The 18987-nt window shown below is 40.7% G+C and overlaps 1 long non-coding RNA gene across 3 annotated transcripts in view; it reads right to left on the bottom strand.

Moving 5' to 3' along the window:
- The window catches only part of LOC105372666 (uncharacterized), a 483513-nt gene that overhangs the window by 450415 nt on the left and 14111 nt on the right, over positions 1–18987 (bottom strand). For all 3 annotated transcript variants that reach the window (XR_007067652.1, XR_001754670.2, XR_001754671.2), the window contains exon 2: positions 8809–8972. This is a non-coding gene — a long non-coding RNA (uncharacterized LOC105372666). The remainder of the gene's footprint in view (positions 1–8808; positions 8973–18987) is intronic.

Raw genomic sequence — 18987 nt, 5'->3', positions numbered from 1 at the left:
AAGAATACCAACATCTGCCAGGCACGGTGGCTCACAACTGTAATCCCAGCACTTTGGGAGGCCAAGGCAGGCAGATCACCGGAGGTCAAGAGTTCAAGATCAGCCTGGTCCAACATGGTGAAACTCCATCTGTACTAAAAAATACAAAAATTAGCCAGGCGTGGTGGCAGGTGCCTGTAATCCCAGTTACTCAGGAGGCTGAGGCAGGAGAATCGCTTGAACCCTTGGAGGTTGCAGTGAGCCGAGATCATGCCACTGCACTCCAGCCAGGGCAACAAGAGTGAAACTCTATCTCAAAAATAAATAAATAAATAAATAAATACTATCATCTCATACAGCATAGTTTGAGAAACCAGAGGGAAAAGAGAAAGGTAATGAGTCTAGAAAAACTAGAATCAAAGAAATGTAGGCCATGACTATTGTGGAGACAATATGAGCTTAAGAGACCGAAATCCTGAAAAACAAACTGAAAGACTCTCCTGTAAATTGTTTTAGATAACAAAAGCCACCCTGGAAAAAGTGACAGGATCACCCACCCAGAGCCACACTCCCTCTCTTTGTCTTTTCACATAAGATCTAAACAGACAATATTAATATTTACAATAAATTTTCTTCATGAGGTAACATATAAAGAGAAACAACAGTCAAAAGACCTCTGGGATTACAATAATTTAAACTTATGTCTTTTGCTTCTATTGTACCATAATACCGCTGGGACTGTATACATATTGAAAGATTCAGGGTCATGTATACTTCTTAAAGTGAAGTTTCACACATATAAGCTGAAAATAAAACAATGTCTGGGAGGAAATTTCATAACATGCTCAACAAGAATCATATCAGAATTCATCATCTTATAGCCTTTTTTATTTTTATAAAAAGAAAAAGAACGTTAAATACACAACTAAATAGCGCCCTCTAGTGGAATATATTGTTTATACAAAATACTCAGAATTTGACCTATTTCCAGAAAATATTGCATCTCACATTTGGTATGGATAAAACAGACTATGCTTAGAATGTATTGCTTTAAATCACAACTTTCTTTGTTAAGGTCATTATTTTTTTAAGTGTTTATTCTTTTCAGCTATTAAATGCAATTTTGGTCAGTCTTTAAAATATCGTTTTCATCTCAAATCACATCAAAACTGGAACCACAATCACTTTTCTTATTAAAATACCACCCTTTGTTTAGAAATCCTTGAATGCAAGCATGACCCCAAATGATTGTAAGATGGGAACACATCTACCCCCTCTTAAATACTTCTTAAATATTTATCTTTTTTGGGCTTCGGCAAAAATCTGCTGATGTCATCTTGTGGCCTGATGCAGATGACAATAACAACCAAATTAAAATCCCTCTCTAGGCAGAATGGAGAGATTCTGAGAAAGCCTGCTGCAGCATAATCTCAAAAAAGCACCCAGGACTGGCGATCTTTACATAACCATTCATCATAGTTGGTCTCTGTTTATACCACCTGAGTGAAGTTCGGGAAAAGATTTTTACTTTTTATTTTATTTTATATTTTTTGAAATGAAGTCTCACTCTGTCACCCAGGCTGGAGTGCAGTGGCACGATCTCGGCTCACTGCAACCTCCATCTCCCAGTTTCAAGCCTCAGCCTCCAGAGCAGCTGGGATTACAGGTGTATGCCACCATGCCTGGCTAATTTTTGTATTTTTAGTAGAGACAGGGTTTCACCATGTTGACCAGGCTGGTCTCAAACTCCCGACCTCAAATGATCCGCTCGCCTCAGCCTCCCAAAGTGCTGGGATTAAAGGCATGAACCACTGCGCCTGACATGGAAAAGATTTCTAAACTTAGCATGTGGAGAAGGTTCAACATATGATCAGAAAAGTCAGCAACAGGAAGTATCACAAAACAAGGTTCTCAAACAAACACAGAAACATTGGACTTTTTGAACAAGGAGAGCATTTAGAGTTACCCAATATCTCACCATCATAATTTTCATCATATTAACATCCCATGTGTCCGTTTACTGACTTAATGTTTGTCTTTAACCAGCTGGACTTTAAATAAAGGAGGGCTAAGATCATATTTCATATATAGACACTAGCAATAAAAATAAATAAAATATTTTAAAACAGTATTATTACATGCCAGATACTATAGTTTGGATTGAAGACTGCTTTCTTCTGTTAAAAGAGGAAGATTAAAAGAGAAGAGAGGAGTCTGGGTTAAAAGAGCACCCGATGGAGACTTTCTTGTCAATATATATGGAGGGCTGACTGAGACATGAGAACACTTCCTCCCTGTGATTCCCTGCTATTTAAAGCGAGTGTCCATGTGGCACCAAAATCATCTCCCATATTGGCAGGTCTCTGTCTCACACTTTAGGAAGCATTAATCAAACTCCCACTTCTCATATGATTCATGGAAAAAATATAACTCAAGAAGGGAAAGTGCGTGCCCACAGTCCCTATAACAGACATGGTGCCTGGCTCACAGCCCCTAAAAGGACTTTCCATTTTACTAGGCAGGTGCAAAAGTAATGGTAAAAATCGCAATTACGTTTGCACCAACCTAATAGTATTCACTAGGGTAGTTCCCTCTGCCAGCGTCCCTTCTCTTTGCTGAAGGAGTTTCCCTGGTGGCAGGAACCCACTCTGCTCATGCACTCAGGGCAAGCCAAAAGTCTGGGAGAATTAACATCCCCAGGAACAGCTCTCAACCAATGACTAACAGGACTGGGGTGTAAATACCCCAGCTCCCTCTCCCACTTGGTGGGAGAGGTGGGAGGGGCATGCTTTCCACATTCACTTGGGATTAAACTCCAGTTACCCACAGTGGTAACTTGCTTAATAGTGCACCCTTTCTTGGCTCACTACTAGTCTAACATCCCTACTCCTTTATGGGTGTTTCCTGGGATTACCACCCAATAAACTAGTTGTACTCAAATTTGTGTCTCCTCTACCTCTGAGGAATCCCAAATTAAAACAAGTAGCAAATTAGCAGTACAGTTCTTTTTTTTTTATTTTTTTTTTCCAGAGATAAGACCTAGCTCTGTTGCCTAGGCTGGAGTGAAGTGACCATTATAGCTCACTGCAGCCTCAAACTCCTGGATTCAAGCTATCCTCCTACCTCAGCCTCTCCAGTTGCTGAGACTACAGGTGCACATCACGACACCCCTGGCTGATTTTATTTTTAGTAGAGATGAGGTCTCACTATGTTACCCCAGCTGGTCTCAAACCCCTGTCCTCAAGCGATCCTCCCACCTGGGCCTCCCAAAGTGCTGGGATTGCAGGTATGAGCTGGCCAAGAGTCAGTTCTTAAACCCAGTTTTTCCACCTCCAAGTCTAGGATTATTTTTTTCTCTCTTTGCCAAGGTGTTTGGACTAACCAAGCCATCTCTAAAAAGATGGTGGCTTAAAATTATGATTATGCCAACTATAGGGTGACCAACCATTCTGGTTTGCCCAGGACTATGGGTTCCCAGGGAGTGGGACTTTCAGTGCCAATACCAGGAAAGTCCTGAGGAAACTAGGAACAGTGCCAATCACCATAACCAGCTACTTCTTTTCCCTCGGGGTAGAGGACCCCAGTTTCCAGTTCAGAGACCCTGGACCTCCCATATTTAATAAATAGGCTCAATCCATAAAACATCACTTCAATAGTTAAGCATTTGGGATTCACCCAAAGTGCAGTACTCAGCATTCAGGTAGCAGACACAATGGTTCCACTCTCTGCTAGTGATGTGTTTGTTTTAGCGTATATTAGGAAAAAATTTAGCACAAAAAATCTTTGATTTTGTAGACATCCTTGTGAAACAAGATGCCAAGATTGGAATTAAGCTTGATTTTTTTAGTTAATTTAATGAAAAACAAAATAATAGTACGCATTTATATATCGATGGCAAAAAAATCTTTGACTGAAAACTTGGAGAAATTTGACTACAGATAATACTAAAATCCTTTCTAACTTGTTACATAAATTAAATTTGATTATTTAATCTGATAAGCAGATATCCAACTGATTATGTCCTTAAGTGACCATTCCTCTTAACCTATTGAAGACAAAAATTACCATCTGTCAGCCAGCATGGTGCTGTGTGTCTGTAATTCCAGCTACTCAGAAGGCTGAGGCAGAAAGGTCGCTTAAGGCTAGGAGTTCAAGTCTAGCCTGGGCTGTAGCAGGCTACAGCAAGGTGTAGCAAGATCTTATCACTTAAAAAAAAATTACTATTTGTCAAGATTACAGACAAATGAATCCAGTGGTCTTTACCAGGTGGCACATAACAAAAATACATTTCAATTACTCTGTTTAAGGGGCCCTTGCTATATGAGGCTGGAAAAATTAAATCACAGATAAACTGCTGGGTGCCCATCACTAGACTAAGCTTGTTTTTTCAGAAAATATGTCCCAAGCACACAACCCTTGTGCCAAACATTCCGCCTGGTCTTTTATCCAACCATGAGAACAGCAAACACAACCCCTGCCTCGGGGAGTTTACAACCAAGAAGGCAATAGACATTAACTGAGCAATTACATAAATAAATATGCAATTATTATAATCAAATAAAAAAATCTTTAGCATGCTATGTTCATTTATGAAGGAAAATGTACCTTTATTTTCTATAACTGATCTTAATCTTGCTCTTTGACCCCTGGGTCAATGGGGTGGGCAGATGGGATGGGTAGAAATAGAAATTTAAATTTGCCAATTAAGGCATCTCAGTCTCTTCTTGTTTACATACAGTATCTTTTGGCTTAAAATAGAACCTTTCAAGTAACTTTTTATCTTTTGACTAATTTTCTCCCCAACCTACTTTCTGAGATTACTTTCCTCTCTGTAAAGAAGTTTGGTTCTTTCAAAAATTGCCAGGCATGGTGGTGCATGCCTATAATCCCAGCTCCTCAGGAGGCTGAGGCAGAAAGATCCCTTGAGCCCAGGAGTTCAAGACCAGCCTGGGAAACATAGTGATACCCTATCCTGTTTTTAAAAAAAAATCAATAACCTGTGAAGGGACCCTGGTGATCACTTCCTATGGTCCTTCCTTTCTTGTTACTGGGGTTGCCCCTGCTCCTCTCTGCTCCCCATTTCTGCCCCAGGCTCATGGTCCTGGCCCTCTGCATGCCCATCACCTACAGTCTCAGAAACAGAGGCCACACCCTACATACAGCAGGATTACGAATTTAAACTCTACCACTCAAGTAACAAGTAGAGCTTCTTTGTTCTCCATAACTGGCATCTTCTCCCTCTAGAGCCTCCTCCCCTGTATGGTAACCATGAACCACGTGTGACTATTTCCATTTACACTGTAATCAATTAAAATTAAAGAAAATTAGAAATTCAGTGTCTCATTGCATGAGCCCTATTTCAAGTGTTCAGTAAAACTGACCCATGTGGCTAGTGGCTACCACATTGAACAGGGCAGATATAGACCATGATCATCCTCACAGAAAGTTCAACTGGACAGCGCAGGTCTGGAGCCCAGAGGAAGTAAAAACAAACTTGCCCATTAAGGCATTTCAGTCTCTTCTGGAGACTTCAAAAGATTTCAAAGAATCTTTTGAGCAAACTTTTTTTAGGTTTCTCTTCACTCCTCTTCCAACAGAGGGTGCCTGCATTGAAGTCTCCCAGGAATTCACAAAAGTAGTATGACATCCAAGGGCTGGATGGCCACAACCCTAGAACTAGGGGAACTGAGGTCAGAGTTTCTCCAGATCCCCTGGAACAAGGAAGCCTCCGGATGACAATGTTATGCCCGTTTTCTAAGTGAGAATAGTGTTGCCAAGAACTTAAACTATTTGTCCAGTCATGAAGCCCAGAAGGAGTGGAGTCAGGATTCAAACCAGGTCTCCTCCTGTGAGACCTCAGCTCTCCCCATCCCATCCCATTGCCTCCTTACTGCTCCACAGTGCAATACATCTCCTTGCTCAAAGGCATGACCCACCGAAGTTTTGGTGGACCACTGCAAAAATCTTCACTGGGGAACCCAAGGGGTGGATGGTCAGCATCCTCATCAAACCCAACTAGAGCTGTTGTTCTGAGGGCTCTTCAACCAATTTTCTAGTGTTAAGGAACTTTATTTTTTTTATTTATTTACTTTTTATTTATTTTTTTTTTTTTGAGACAGAGTCTTGCTCTGTCGCCCAGGCTGGAGTGCAGTGGCGCGATCTCGGCTCACTGCAAGCTCCACCTCCTGGGTTCACGCCATTCTTCTGCCTCAGCCTCCTGAGTAGCTGGGACTATAGGTGCCCGCCACCATGTCTGGCTAATTTTTTGTATTTTTTAGTAGAGACGGGGTTTCACCATGTTAGCCAGGATGGTCTCGATCTCCTGACCTTGTGATCCGCCTGCCTCGGCCTCCCAAAGAGCTGGTATTACAGGTGAGCCACTGTGCCCAGCTGGAACTTTAAGTGTATTATAACGCCTAAACAATGTCCAGGAATCTTGAATTCTATCTTGTCACTCCTGACATGGGAATTACATGTATCGAGTACATATTGCATGCCAAGCACTGTGCCAAGGATGTTCCAAGGTCATTCTCTTACATGATTCTCACAACAGGTTTTTTTTTTTAGGTAGTTACTATCATTATCCCCATTCATTAATGAGGGAATAAAGCTCAGAGAGCTTCCGCCATTGGCTAAGATGCAATGGTATTTAAGCCATGCTCTGCCACTAATGGAAATGGAAAAGTAATGAAAGAAAATAAAGAAATGAAAGAAAATCAAGATTATCTTTGCCCTCTGAAGCAGAGGTCAATACTGTGGGAACAAATCCTGACTCTGTCCCTTACTCACTGTGTACTTTTGAGCAACTTCTTCAGCCTCTCTGAACAGTTTTCTATCTATAAAACAGGGATGGTGATACCGCCTTCCCACTCCAATCTGGCTAGTGAGAATCGCATATGAGACCATATGCTGTATCAGTTACAGTTCTTTGATGGCAAGCAACAGAAATTGGTTTAGCCAGCAAAAGGAAAAAAAGGGATTCACTAGAAGGGTATTTGGAGACTTCCACAATTTATGGGAAGGCTGTAAAGTCAAGTAGGAACAAGGATCAGGAATCAAGGAACTGACAGAGAATGTTCGTCAGGGTCTGTGTCCGGTTATTTTTTGCATGGTTATAAAGAAACACCTGAGGCTGGTTAATTTATAAAGAAAAGAGGTTGAATTGGCTCATGGTTCTGCAGGTTGTGCCGGCATGGCTCTGGCATCTGCTTCTGGTGAGGGTGTCAGGCACTGTAAAATCATGGCAGAAGGCAAAGTGGGAGCAGGCATATCATGTGGCAAGAGCAAGAGACAGAGACAGAGATGGCGGAAGTCCCAGAGTTTTAAACAACCAGATCTCACATGAGCTAACTGAGCAAGGACTCCGTGATCACCAGCAGGATGGCGCTAAACCACTCATGAGAAATCCACCCTCACGATCCAATACCTCCCACCAGGCCCCACCTCCAACAATGGGAATCATATTTCAACATGAAATTTGGAGGGGACAAACATGCACAACATATCAGGGTCCACTGCTCTTGGGCCATTTTTCCATCTCTGAGTCACTAGGCTCATGATTGGAAGTCCTGGGTGAAAGCTGACTTGCTCAATCAGACTCTCACTTGCTCACTTTGAAATGCACTGTAATATTAAGAAGAAGGTTCTGGAAGGGACTCCTTTGGCCTTATAGTGGAAAGACAGAACACTTTGACCATGCCCATGAGAAAAAGATAATTTCTGAACAAGAAATCAGGATACTGTTAGAATTGGGGTAGTGGGATTGGAATGCAGCATGCAGTGGGGGAGACAAATGTTGACTACACTATTAAAGGTCATGCAAACATAAAGTAGTGGTAATATGTTCATAAAAAGCAACTTTATGCAGTGTGCCTTATATTGTCTTTAGCAGAGTTCAAACAGTGAGAAACAGCATAGCAAGGGATTAAGGTGACAATCTGCAATTGAGCTGCCCGGGTTGAAATACCAGTCAGCTACTTACTAGCTGAGTTTCCTTAGCACACACTTAGCCTCTCTCAAGTCTCAGTTTTCACACCTGTGAAATAGCGAGGATGATGATAATAGCAGTTCATACCTCCCGGGGCACCATGAGGATTAAATGAGCTAAGTTACATGAAGGATTCAGAACACTGCAAGGCACATAGAAAGTACCAGTACCCTCCTTGGATGCGGGAAGTGGGAGTCCTGCTCTAGGCCCCAGGTGTAAGTGGCCTAAGTCCCCTCCCAGGGAGGGCAGGGTCTGCAGTAGTGACAGGTGGGATGCTCAAGGCCTACCTCATGGACCCCCCCTTGCCCCCAGGGTTTCCCCTCCAGGTTGCTCTCCAGCCCACTATCCCACATGTGTCCACTAGCTGCCCAGAGGAGCCCTGAATCTCACGCACGGGTCATCTGGGGAGATCCCAATTCCAGGAGACCAGCAGATAGCTCCCTGCCAGCTGGCACAGCATTTCTTTCATGTGATTGCACAAGATTGACAAGTAGAATGGGGCTAACACACCAATTTTGATGATTCTCACTCAAGCGCGGCACAAGACAACATCAGATTTCTGGACTACTATTAAACTAAACACTGTGGGCCCATGCCAGGCTCTCACCCACCCATGTGCCCCTCACCATGCTACCTCTGGTCTACAGCATCTTAGGATAGTGGGGGTGGCAACTGACATTCTATACATTGTGTCTCCTAATGCAGTCACCCGACAACCTCTACTAGCTTCATACCACACATTAGGCAATCCTCTTGGGTGCCCACACCTATCTCCTGAAGGGCTTTTTCAAGACCATTCATCCCCACACCAATGGGCCTTTCCAATTGGTGAGCTCACCTACCTCTGATTGACATGGTGATGTTGACCTGCATTCTCTCTTAAGCCTTGCATGAATGAGGACACTCTTCTTGGACACTCTTCTCATGCATTCCTAATTCCTCACTGGTAGTGGTATGTGGAAGGCAGAGGTGAGGTCAACATACTAAGAGTTCTTGCAGCTACCACCTAAAGATTCCAAAAGAAGATATACTCAGAAGATAGGCTTTCTACGTTTACACTCTAAAGTTCCAAACAGTAAATTTAACAAGACCAGAAAACAAACTACCATTCACATCTCCCTGCAGATGCTGAGTGAGACTTCCATTTGTGGTCACCATCATGGACACACAGTCATGACCTTTGAGAGAGTCATCAGAAGCCAGGGTTCATGGCCAGTCCAATGAATGAGGCAGCCATCAGAACTGATGATGTAAATGGCACTGGGGATTGCAAAGGCAAGAAGGCCTACATTGTCTCAATGCAAACAGGTTCCAAAGAGCATGGCATTATGAATAAAAACAGTGTGGCTCCCTCATTCTCCTGGTGGAAGACATGAAATTAGCCTGAATCAGCACATTAGATAATGAAGAATGGAAGCAATGGCTACTGGACCTTAACAGGACACAATGGAGCCTGGACACTAGAATCTTCCCATGTGCCAGTTGGACAATAAACAAATGTGTGACTACCTCTTCTCTTCTCCTTTGATGACTAGCATACCTCATACAAGCCCATGAGTTTTATGATATATTTTTTTAGTCCGGGTATGGTGGCTCATGCCTGTAACCCCAGCACTTTGGGAGGCCAAGGTGGGCAGATCACTTGAGGTCAGGAGTTCAAGACCACCCTGGCCAACATAGCGAAACCCCATCTCTACTAAAAATACTAAAATTAGCCAGGCATGGTGGTGGGTGCCTATGATCCCAGCTACTCAGGAGGCTGAGGCAGGAGAATCACTTGAACCCAGGAGGCAGAGGTTGCAGTGAGCAGTGATTGCACACCATTGCACTCCAGCCTGAGTGACAGAGGGAGACTCTATATCAAAAAATATATATTTTTTTTAATCAAATTGTTTATATGGACAAAAGCCCTTCAACAAAAGTGTTTATCCACAACCCACACACCCCAGAGATGCCCTGGTGAGCACATATACATGTTTACTAATTTCCCAAGAAGTTTAATATCAGGAATATGCACTTGGAAGGATGATAGTTTAATGATGTCAAAATTAGCTTAGTGATTCAGCAATCCCACTTCTGGGTATAATCCAAAGGAAAGGAAATCAGTCTGTCAAAGAGACATCTGCACTCCCATGTTCATTGCAGCACTGTTCATAATAGCTAAGATGTGAAATCAACCTACGTGTCCATCACCAGACGAATGAATAAAGAAGATGTGATACATCAATTTGCAATTGTGAAGACATGGAACCAACCTAAGTACCCACCAACCAACGAGTGGATAAAGAAAGTGTGGCACATATACACAAAGGAATACTATTCAGCCTTGAATTAAAAGGAAATCCTGTCATTTCCAACAACATGGATGAACCTAAAGAACGTTGTGTTAAATGAAATAAGCAAAGCACAAAAAGAGAAACATGGCATGATCCCACTTCTACGTAGAATCTAAAAACGTTGAACTGAGAAGCAGAGAGGAGAATGGTGGGTACCAGAGGCTAGTGAGTAAGAGGATTAGGGAGCTATAGGTCAATGAATAAAAAATTTCTGGCCAGGCACGGTGGCTCACGCCTGTAATCCCAGCACTTTGGGAGGCCGAGGCAGACAGATGACGAGGTCAGGAGATCGCGACCATCCTGGCTAACATGGTGAAGCACTGTCTCTACTAAAAATACAAAAAAAATTAACCGTTCATGGTGTCAATTTAAAAAAAATTTTAAACACCCCCAAAATTTGCAGAGTGACTTTATAAAAGACATCTCCATTTTCTTGATTCATAATTGTACCTTCTCCTTTCACACGCCCTGCTAAACATCAATGATTCCCAAACACCGCTGATTATCAAAAGTGTTTGGAATATTTTTGGGATTGGGTTTGGTTTTGTTGAATGAAGCTTACTGGCTGTACCCCAAACCTATGGAGCCATGTTCTCCTGGGGGCTGACCCTGGAATCCACGTTGTTAAGAGGTCCCCAGGAAGCTCTGATGACGAGCCAGGTTAGGGCAGCTGTGCTCTACACATTTACGGAAAGAAGAGCATTAAGTCCCTAAAGGGCTTTTTCAACTCTTGGTTTCTAGAATGATGGCAGTTAAATATATTTAACTGCAAGCCTACGCTTTAAGTTTCCATTTATACTAAATCTAAAATCTTCCCAAAGTATCAACCATATACAGCCATCCCTGGGTATTCATGGGGGATTGGTTCAAGAAATGCCCCAAAAAATCCACAAATGCTCAAGTCACTTAAATGAAATGGCATAGTATTTGTATATAACCTATGCACATCCTCCTGTAATTCTAAATCATCTCTAGATCACTTGTAATACCTAATATAATGTAAATACTAAGTAAATAGTTGTTACACTGAATTTTTTAAATATGTATTTTTATGGTTGTATATTTTCTTTTTTCCCCTAATATTTTCAAACCAAAGTTGGTTGAATCCCTAGATACAGAACTCATAAATACAGAGAGCCAATTGTATAGCAAATCAATCAATCAATAAGTGTATTTGAGCACCACTAAATCTATGGGATTCATGACTCACATATGAAATTACTGATGACATAAGAACATAATAAAACTATTACACCTCTTTAAGGTACAAATAGCAAATCATGTAAATGTAAGACACGGCCGTTTAGTTAAGAAAGGAGATGTTCCTGTTTAAGTTCAAAACATAATTAATTATGGTCCGAAGACATAAATTTTACCATCAGCTTCTATAAAATGTTACTATTGAAACTAGGTCACTATGCAAGAAGTATAGGTAGTTCCTCAAGAGGAAATACTTCAAAGATTAATATAAATAATAATGTTTTAAAGTTTCAAAAATATATCCAAGAATTCAAAAGCTGTGTATACATAATACTTGACTTTCTTTAAAAAAAAAAAAATTCATTCCAGGGGGAAGAAAAAAGTCTTCTCTTGAGCATATATATAAAGGTTAAGAAATATTAGTAGATTATTTATATATGTTGGTTTCCATTTTCTATCATAAAATTTAAAAAGTCAAGACAAATTAAAAATTGTCACACTTCATATCAATTATATATTGAAATATGCCTGAAAGAAAAGATTTGAAAGTAAGCAAACAATAAAATTAATACAGCAGGCCTCCTATTTCTGTGAATTTGTTGAAGCAGGAAGGGAAGATAAGGAGAAGAAGAAAAAGAGAAGGAGGAGGAGAAGGGAGGCAGGAAGAGGAAGCTGCCAAATTTATAATGCTGAAAGAACAACTTTACAAGCTCCAAAGTTCACATTTGGTTATGTTGTAAACATCAAAACCAAACTGTAGTAAGTCACCTCACAGAGTTATTTTGTCAATGATTGACTGACAATCTTTGAACAATCCCTTAGAAGACCAATCACATTTCAAAATGATTCATCATGGCATGAGGCAAACCTGTAAGGTGGACTTAGCCTTTTAAATTACATGATATGTTACTATCAATATAAGCATATCCATTATATGTCTCTAAATTTTGCCTATAGGCTAGAAAATAATAGGTAGCAAAAGCTTTTAAGAAACATACATTTGTATAATTTCCATTGTCTTTTCTCATTATCTATTGATACTGTATCTCCTGCTCTAATACAGGGGTTGTTTTGATGACACAAATTACACCAAAACTCACTATCTTCCCCGAATCTTAGTTATCAAATCCCAGAATAAAAAGTCCCTCTCAATGAGTGTTAAAGCTTCTCTCTCCCTTTTGTTAATTTTCTTAAAAAACAATAGGCCCTAACAAGAGGAAAACACGTCCTCTCCATTCCATAGTTATTTGCAAATATTGTGTCAGTGAAAAAAAGCCAGACAGTGCTGTTTTTTAAGTCCAGATCAATAAACATCACCCAGTGTAAAAACCATACCACCTTATCTGTAATGCTTGGACTCAAGGAGCTAGCAAAAGATTTGTAGGGTAAAATCTCCACAAAGGATACTACTCTGGGTGAGATTTGGTATATATGTGTTAATAAATTTTTTGTCAACTGGCCTTTAGGATTACTCTTCTGTCTGAATTTTGGTTTTGTTTTCTCTCTGTTCCTCCCCCATGGGGTTGAACCTAGAAATAGCATCGCTCTTGAGCTCGTTAGTTTGACAAACTGGCCTAAGTGTGCAGCAGCAATGGGTACCTCCAACACAGCAGCATTTATGAGTCTCCGGGGGATTCTGAGAAACACCAGGAAGTGTTTAGGTACTGAATCACAGCCAAGTATTCTGAATCTTTACTTTTTTTTTTCTATGAGGATGTCAGCATTAAAATATAGAACATGCTTTTCCCACTTGGCTTCTATTATTTGTAAAGCATTCAAGAGTTTCTAGGCTAGAACTACCTCCATCCCCAGGCAGGAGGGCAGGCAAAAACTCCAAGGAGCCTTAACAGTTCCTCTGCTGGTCTTCTTTTACACTTTTGACCCAACAACATAATAAAAATGACTAAATGCTAAACCTGAGTGCTGTGCTTGTAAATCCATCATATTTTTTATCATATTTATCCACGCAGTGTTCTCACCTTTGCTGCTTCAGATAATGCATGTTGAAATACATTTCAAAAGATAACTAGTTAGTTTTCAGATATGACACATCTATCATCCAAATAACCAGGCAATTATGACATAGTAAACCTTACGAATAAATGATTTGTTTTAAAGGTGGTTTAGATTACACTTAAAAATTAAAGTTCACATCAAAGGCAGGAAAAACAAGAAACAGTGTTTGTAAATAAGAATTTAAAACTGAAATTTGGGCAGGGATAGTATTTTTGCTCAGCTAATTTTGGTTTTTAATTACACACATTTGTTATTTATGCTACAATACCTCAGACAACTACTGGGGAAAAAGAGGGATTGCAAGTTTATTGTCTCAAATCTTAACTTTATCTATCTTAGTTTATGGACTACACCAGCATTTTTAAATAAATCAGCCCAACAATTCCACATTGTGATATATATCCACATACAAATAAGCAAAAAAATCGGTGCAAATATGTTGAATGTATCATATTATATTAACAAACTGCAGACAACTGTCCATCATTAGGGAATGGCTAATAAATTTGAATCAGAATCATAAAACCAGGATATAGAATACTTTGCAGCCATTTTTGAAAAATTGGTAAGGGCCAGGCTCCATGGCTCACACCTATAATCTCAGCACTTTGGGAGGCCAAGGAAAGACGATTACTTGAGGCCAGGAGTTTGAGACCAGCCTGGGCAACATAGTGAGACTCTATCTGTACAAAAAATAAAGAATATTAGCCAGGTATGGTAGCACACTCCTACAGTCCTAGCTACTCAGGAGGCTGAGGTGGGAGGATTGCTTGAGCCCAGGAGTTTGAAGTTTCAGTGAACAATGATCACACCACTGCACTCCAGCCTGGGCAACAAAGCAAGACTCTGTCTCTAAAAAAAGAAAGAAAAAATCATAGACCTGCATATACTGATGTGGAAGTTTATCCACAACATATTTTTTAAGAAAAAAAATTGTTTTTAATCTTTGTGGGTACATATTAGGTGTATATATTTATGGAGTACATGAGATGTTTTGATATAGACATGCAATGTGATACCCATGACATACTGTTGAATGAAAATGTATTCAGCATTTAGTATGTTAAGATGTCAGGCAAAAATAAGTACTCACAGATATATTTGAGCATTGTTGGCATTCTTATAACAAGAATATATTCATTTATTCACTACATTACTTTTTTTTTAAGACAAGGTCTTACTCTGTTGCCCAGGCTGGAGTGGAACCCAATGGAGGCTCACTGTAACCTCGACCTCCTGGACTCAAGCGATCCTCCCATCTCAGCCTCCCAAGTAACTGGGACCACAGGTGTGCACCATGTTGGGCTAATTTTTGTATTACTTATAGCAGCAGTCCATAACCTTTTTGGTACCAGGGACCGGTTTTATAGAAGGCAATTTTTCCATGGACAGGGCAGTGAGGGTGGGAGGGGTGGTGGAGAGGCTTTCAGGATGAAACTTCCACCTCAGATCATCAGGTATTAGATTCTCACAAGGGGTGCACAACCTAGATCCTTTCCATGCATAGCTCACAATAGGGTTCGTGCTCCTGCGAGAACTATGAGATCTAATGCTGTCGCTGACCTGAGAGGAGGTGGAGCTCAGGCGAATTGCTCGCTTGCCCGCTGCTCACCTCCTGCTGTGTGGCCTGGGTTTTTAACGGGCCATGGACTGGGACCCTTGGCTTATGTAATATAAATATAATAAATATAAATATATGGACCGGGTTTGTTTTATTGAGACATAAGGGCTATAGTTAATTATTAACTATAGTTGTACAATATAACACAACATTATATTGTGTTATATTCAGGATTTTTGCTAATTAAATAGATTTCAGCTGCTCTTGCCACACACAAAAAGAATAATGTGTAACTATGTAAGATAATGAATATGGTAATTTACTCACTATCGTAACCATTTTACTATCTATGTGGATCCCACTCATAACATCATAATGTATACCTTAAATATGTACAATAAAATTTATTTTTTTAAAAAAAGCATGCCAGGCACAGTGGCTCACACCTGCAATCCCAGCACTTTGGGAGGCCAAGGCGGGCGGATCATGAGGTCAGGAGATCAAGACCATCCTGGCCAACATGGTGAAACCCTGTCTCTACTAAAAATACAAAAATTAGCCGGGCATGGTGGCACGTGCCTGTAATCCCAGCTACTTGGGAGGCTGAGACAGGAGAATCACTTGAACCAAAGAGTTGGAGGTTACAGTGAGTCGAGATTGTGCCACTGCACTCCAGCCTGGTGACAGAGCAAGACTCTGTCTAAAAAGAAAAAAAAAAAAGCAATAATGAGGAAAGGTGAAATTGATCTTTCCTTACCACATTGAAGGACTAAGCTCTGTGCATGAGGAAGATGCCCCTCTTAGAGGGAGCAAAGGCAGGGTTAGGACTAGTCTGCATAGTCTTTGAAACCAGAAAAACTGTCATTTCAAAGAAACCTCAAAAGAGGTTGTATTAATCCGTTTTCACACTGCTAATGAAGACATATCTCTGACTGGGCAATTTACAAAAGAAAGAGGTTTCACTGAACTTACATTTCCACGTGGCTGGGGAGCCTCATAATTGTGGTGGGAGGCAAGGAGGAGCAAGTCATGACTTATGTGGATGGCAGCAGGCAAAAAGATTTTGTGCAGGGGAACTCCTCTTTTTAAAACCATCGGATCTCATTCACTATCATGAGAACAGCGCAGCAAAGACCTGCCCCCATAATTCAATCACCTCCCACCGAGTTCCTCCCATGACATGTGGGAATTTGGGAGTTACAATTCAAGATGAGATTTGGGTGGGGACACAGCCAAACCATATCAGAGGTCTTCATTCATTTCCAATTAAATCTTTCTATACAGATGAAAACTTTTGTGATGAAAGTGTGGTATTCTGTAACATTAAAATATTTCCCTTGTTTGAGTAATTCCCCTTCTATGCATCAGCCCAACAGATGCCCTCGTACCTGAGTGTAAAGGTAGACATTCCAGAATGACTGCTCGTGCACAATCTATAACAGGAAAGCACTGGAGACAGGAAAATGCCAATCAGTAAGGGGCCGGCCACGTCCTTGTGCTATGTTCTGGCCATGAAATGCACAGCAGCTGGATGGGCGCGCTGGCTCACGCCTGTAATCCCAGAACTTTGGGAGGCCGAGGCGGGCGGATCACAAGATTGGGAGCTCGAGACCAGCCTGGCCAATATGGTGAAACCCCGTCTCTACTAAAAATACAAAAAAAATTAGCCAGGCATGGTGGCACGCACCTGAAATCCCAGCTACTCAGGAGGCTGAGGCAGGAGAATCACTTAAACCCAGGAGACAGAGGTTGTAGTGAGCCGAGATCGCACCACTGCACTCCAGCCTGGGCGACAGAGCGAGATTCCATCTCAAAAAAAAAAAAAGAAAGAAAGAAATAAAGATATGCACAGCAGCCAAAATTATAATAAATGAGAACCTGCTGCTACACCCACAGAGTTCACCTTAAGCACTCACACTAGTCCCAAATCCCACATTCTAGAAAAGAGAAATGAGGGTGGAAGAGAAAGAAGAAGGAGAGAGAAGGTGGAAGAGAGAGATCAGCACTCAGAGGCAGCCTGGAAGAGAGGGAAGTGGATTGCCCAGAACATTCCTGGAAACTGGAGGTTAGCTGGCCCCTGCAAATATAGGCAGGCTGTGTGCTAACAGGATTAGGGAGGGATCCCGAGAACATGCCTGGGTCTACGGGTTTGGCAAACAGCCACATTTAACAGCTCTAATAGTCTTGTGCCTCCTCGAACTTTGCTGAAATCACACTGAAAGTTGTACCCTGTAATTTCTTACTATACTACAACAGAGAAGAGCCTGCCAGAGCCCCCACCCAAACCCACTTATGTCCACAGTGCTTGTCACTGAATCCACCTCCAATTAAAGAATGCTATAGAAATACTACACATGAAAATTTATGTATGTAAAAGTTATAAACAAAGCACAATTCAAAGAAAAAACTAGAAAGAGGCAGACAGCTCATCTCCTCCTGCCATCTGAGATGATGGCAGAAGGACACCATCAAAAATGTTCAGCCAAAATGGAGAAGGATTCTCTGAGGATGCATATATAATATTTAAAGAATGAAAAGAAGCAGGTGCACTTTCTATTTTTAGCTAGATATATAGCCTGGCAAACCAAATTAGAAGATGGTGCAGTCCTATTCACAACAAAAAGAAAACCTACCCCACAACGTTTTTATAAACAAAAAATTCTGATGATATTTCCATTGATATTTTCTAGCCATTGGCTTGTCATATGAGATAGAGGATGGAATTTCCCTAAAAGTCATTGGCCAACAAGTAACAAATTCTGCCAAAAAGGAAACCCCCAAAGAATACATTTCAGAGGAAAAGTAACCTCACTTTAGATGTTGAGCTTCAGCTCTGACAATATGCTTAATATTTTCTGCACACTTTCCCCAAATTAATAATTATACATATTAGAAAGGAAGCAGACAAATTACAATTCTGACATAATTAATTTGACATTTATTCATTGCTGTAAAAGTATTATTGTTGCATAGTCATACTTTAATGTGCACATGTCAATAAGGCTGGCCAAAGATGGGGATTTTAAATAGTTTCCAAAAGGAACACAATTAATTTTGGTGATTGTTGCATAAACATTGCATTAAGTGTCAAAGTAACACATTGAAGGAATTCAAATGGCTTCATAAAATCGAAGGGAAGGAGAGTCATAATTACACATATCAGAAAATGATTAACTATTCTTTTAACAGAATTCCTTTGCTGAAGATTAATGAACATTGGTTTTTGCCAGAAAGTTCCGTAATGTACATCACTGCTGAGAAGGCAGATAAATATCATTCTGTTTTAATAGTTATGTGTTTATTTTAATGTCTCTTAGAAATAAATATTTCTAGCATATGAAGCCTGAGGTGCCACTAATATTATTGCTTATGATGAACTTTGTTTTAAAAACAAATACATATAAATAAAACATCACTAAGTCTTTGTACAGCATTACACAGATCATAACAGGCACTGTCAGTATACTGCCATATCCCTTTGCATCTCTTTCCCGTTTTCCTGCATGTAGACTCCCAGTATGCTTCTCTGCCCAGCAGCCAAGCACCTGTGGCTTACTGCCCAACTTAAGCTGCTGAAGCCAGTTTTGCCTGGGATCAGGGAGAGCTAGAAATGCCTTAACCAATGTCCTTATCTAGTGATTTATGTGTGCAAGAATATAAACCAGCACCATCCAATAGAAATATAGTGCCATCCCAGGAGAATTGCTTGAACCCGGGAGTCAGAGGTTGCAGTGAGCCGAGATCATGCCACTGCATTCCAGCCTGGGCGACAAGAGCGAAACTCCCTCTCAAAAAAAAAAAAAAGAAAAGAAAGAAAGAAAGATAGTGCCATCTACCAGTGTAATTGTAAATTTTCTAGAGGCTAGATTTTTTTTACAAAAAAGCAAAAATAAACAGGTAAAATAAAT

Source organism: Homo sapiens, chromosome 20 (genome assembly GCF_000001405.40).
Source record: "Homo sapiens chromosome 20, GRCh38.p14 Primary Assembly".
Taxonomy (NCBI): domain Eukaryota; kingdom Metazoa; phylum Chordata; class Mammalia; order Primates; family Hominidae; genus Homo; species Homo sapiens.
The sequence above is the reverse complement of the archived record's forward strand: the minus strand, read 5'-3'. Positions and strand labels throughout refer to the sequence as shown.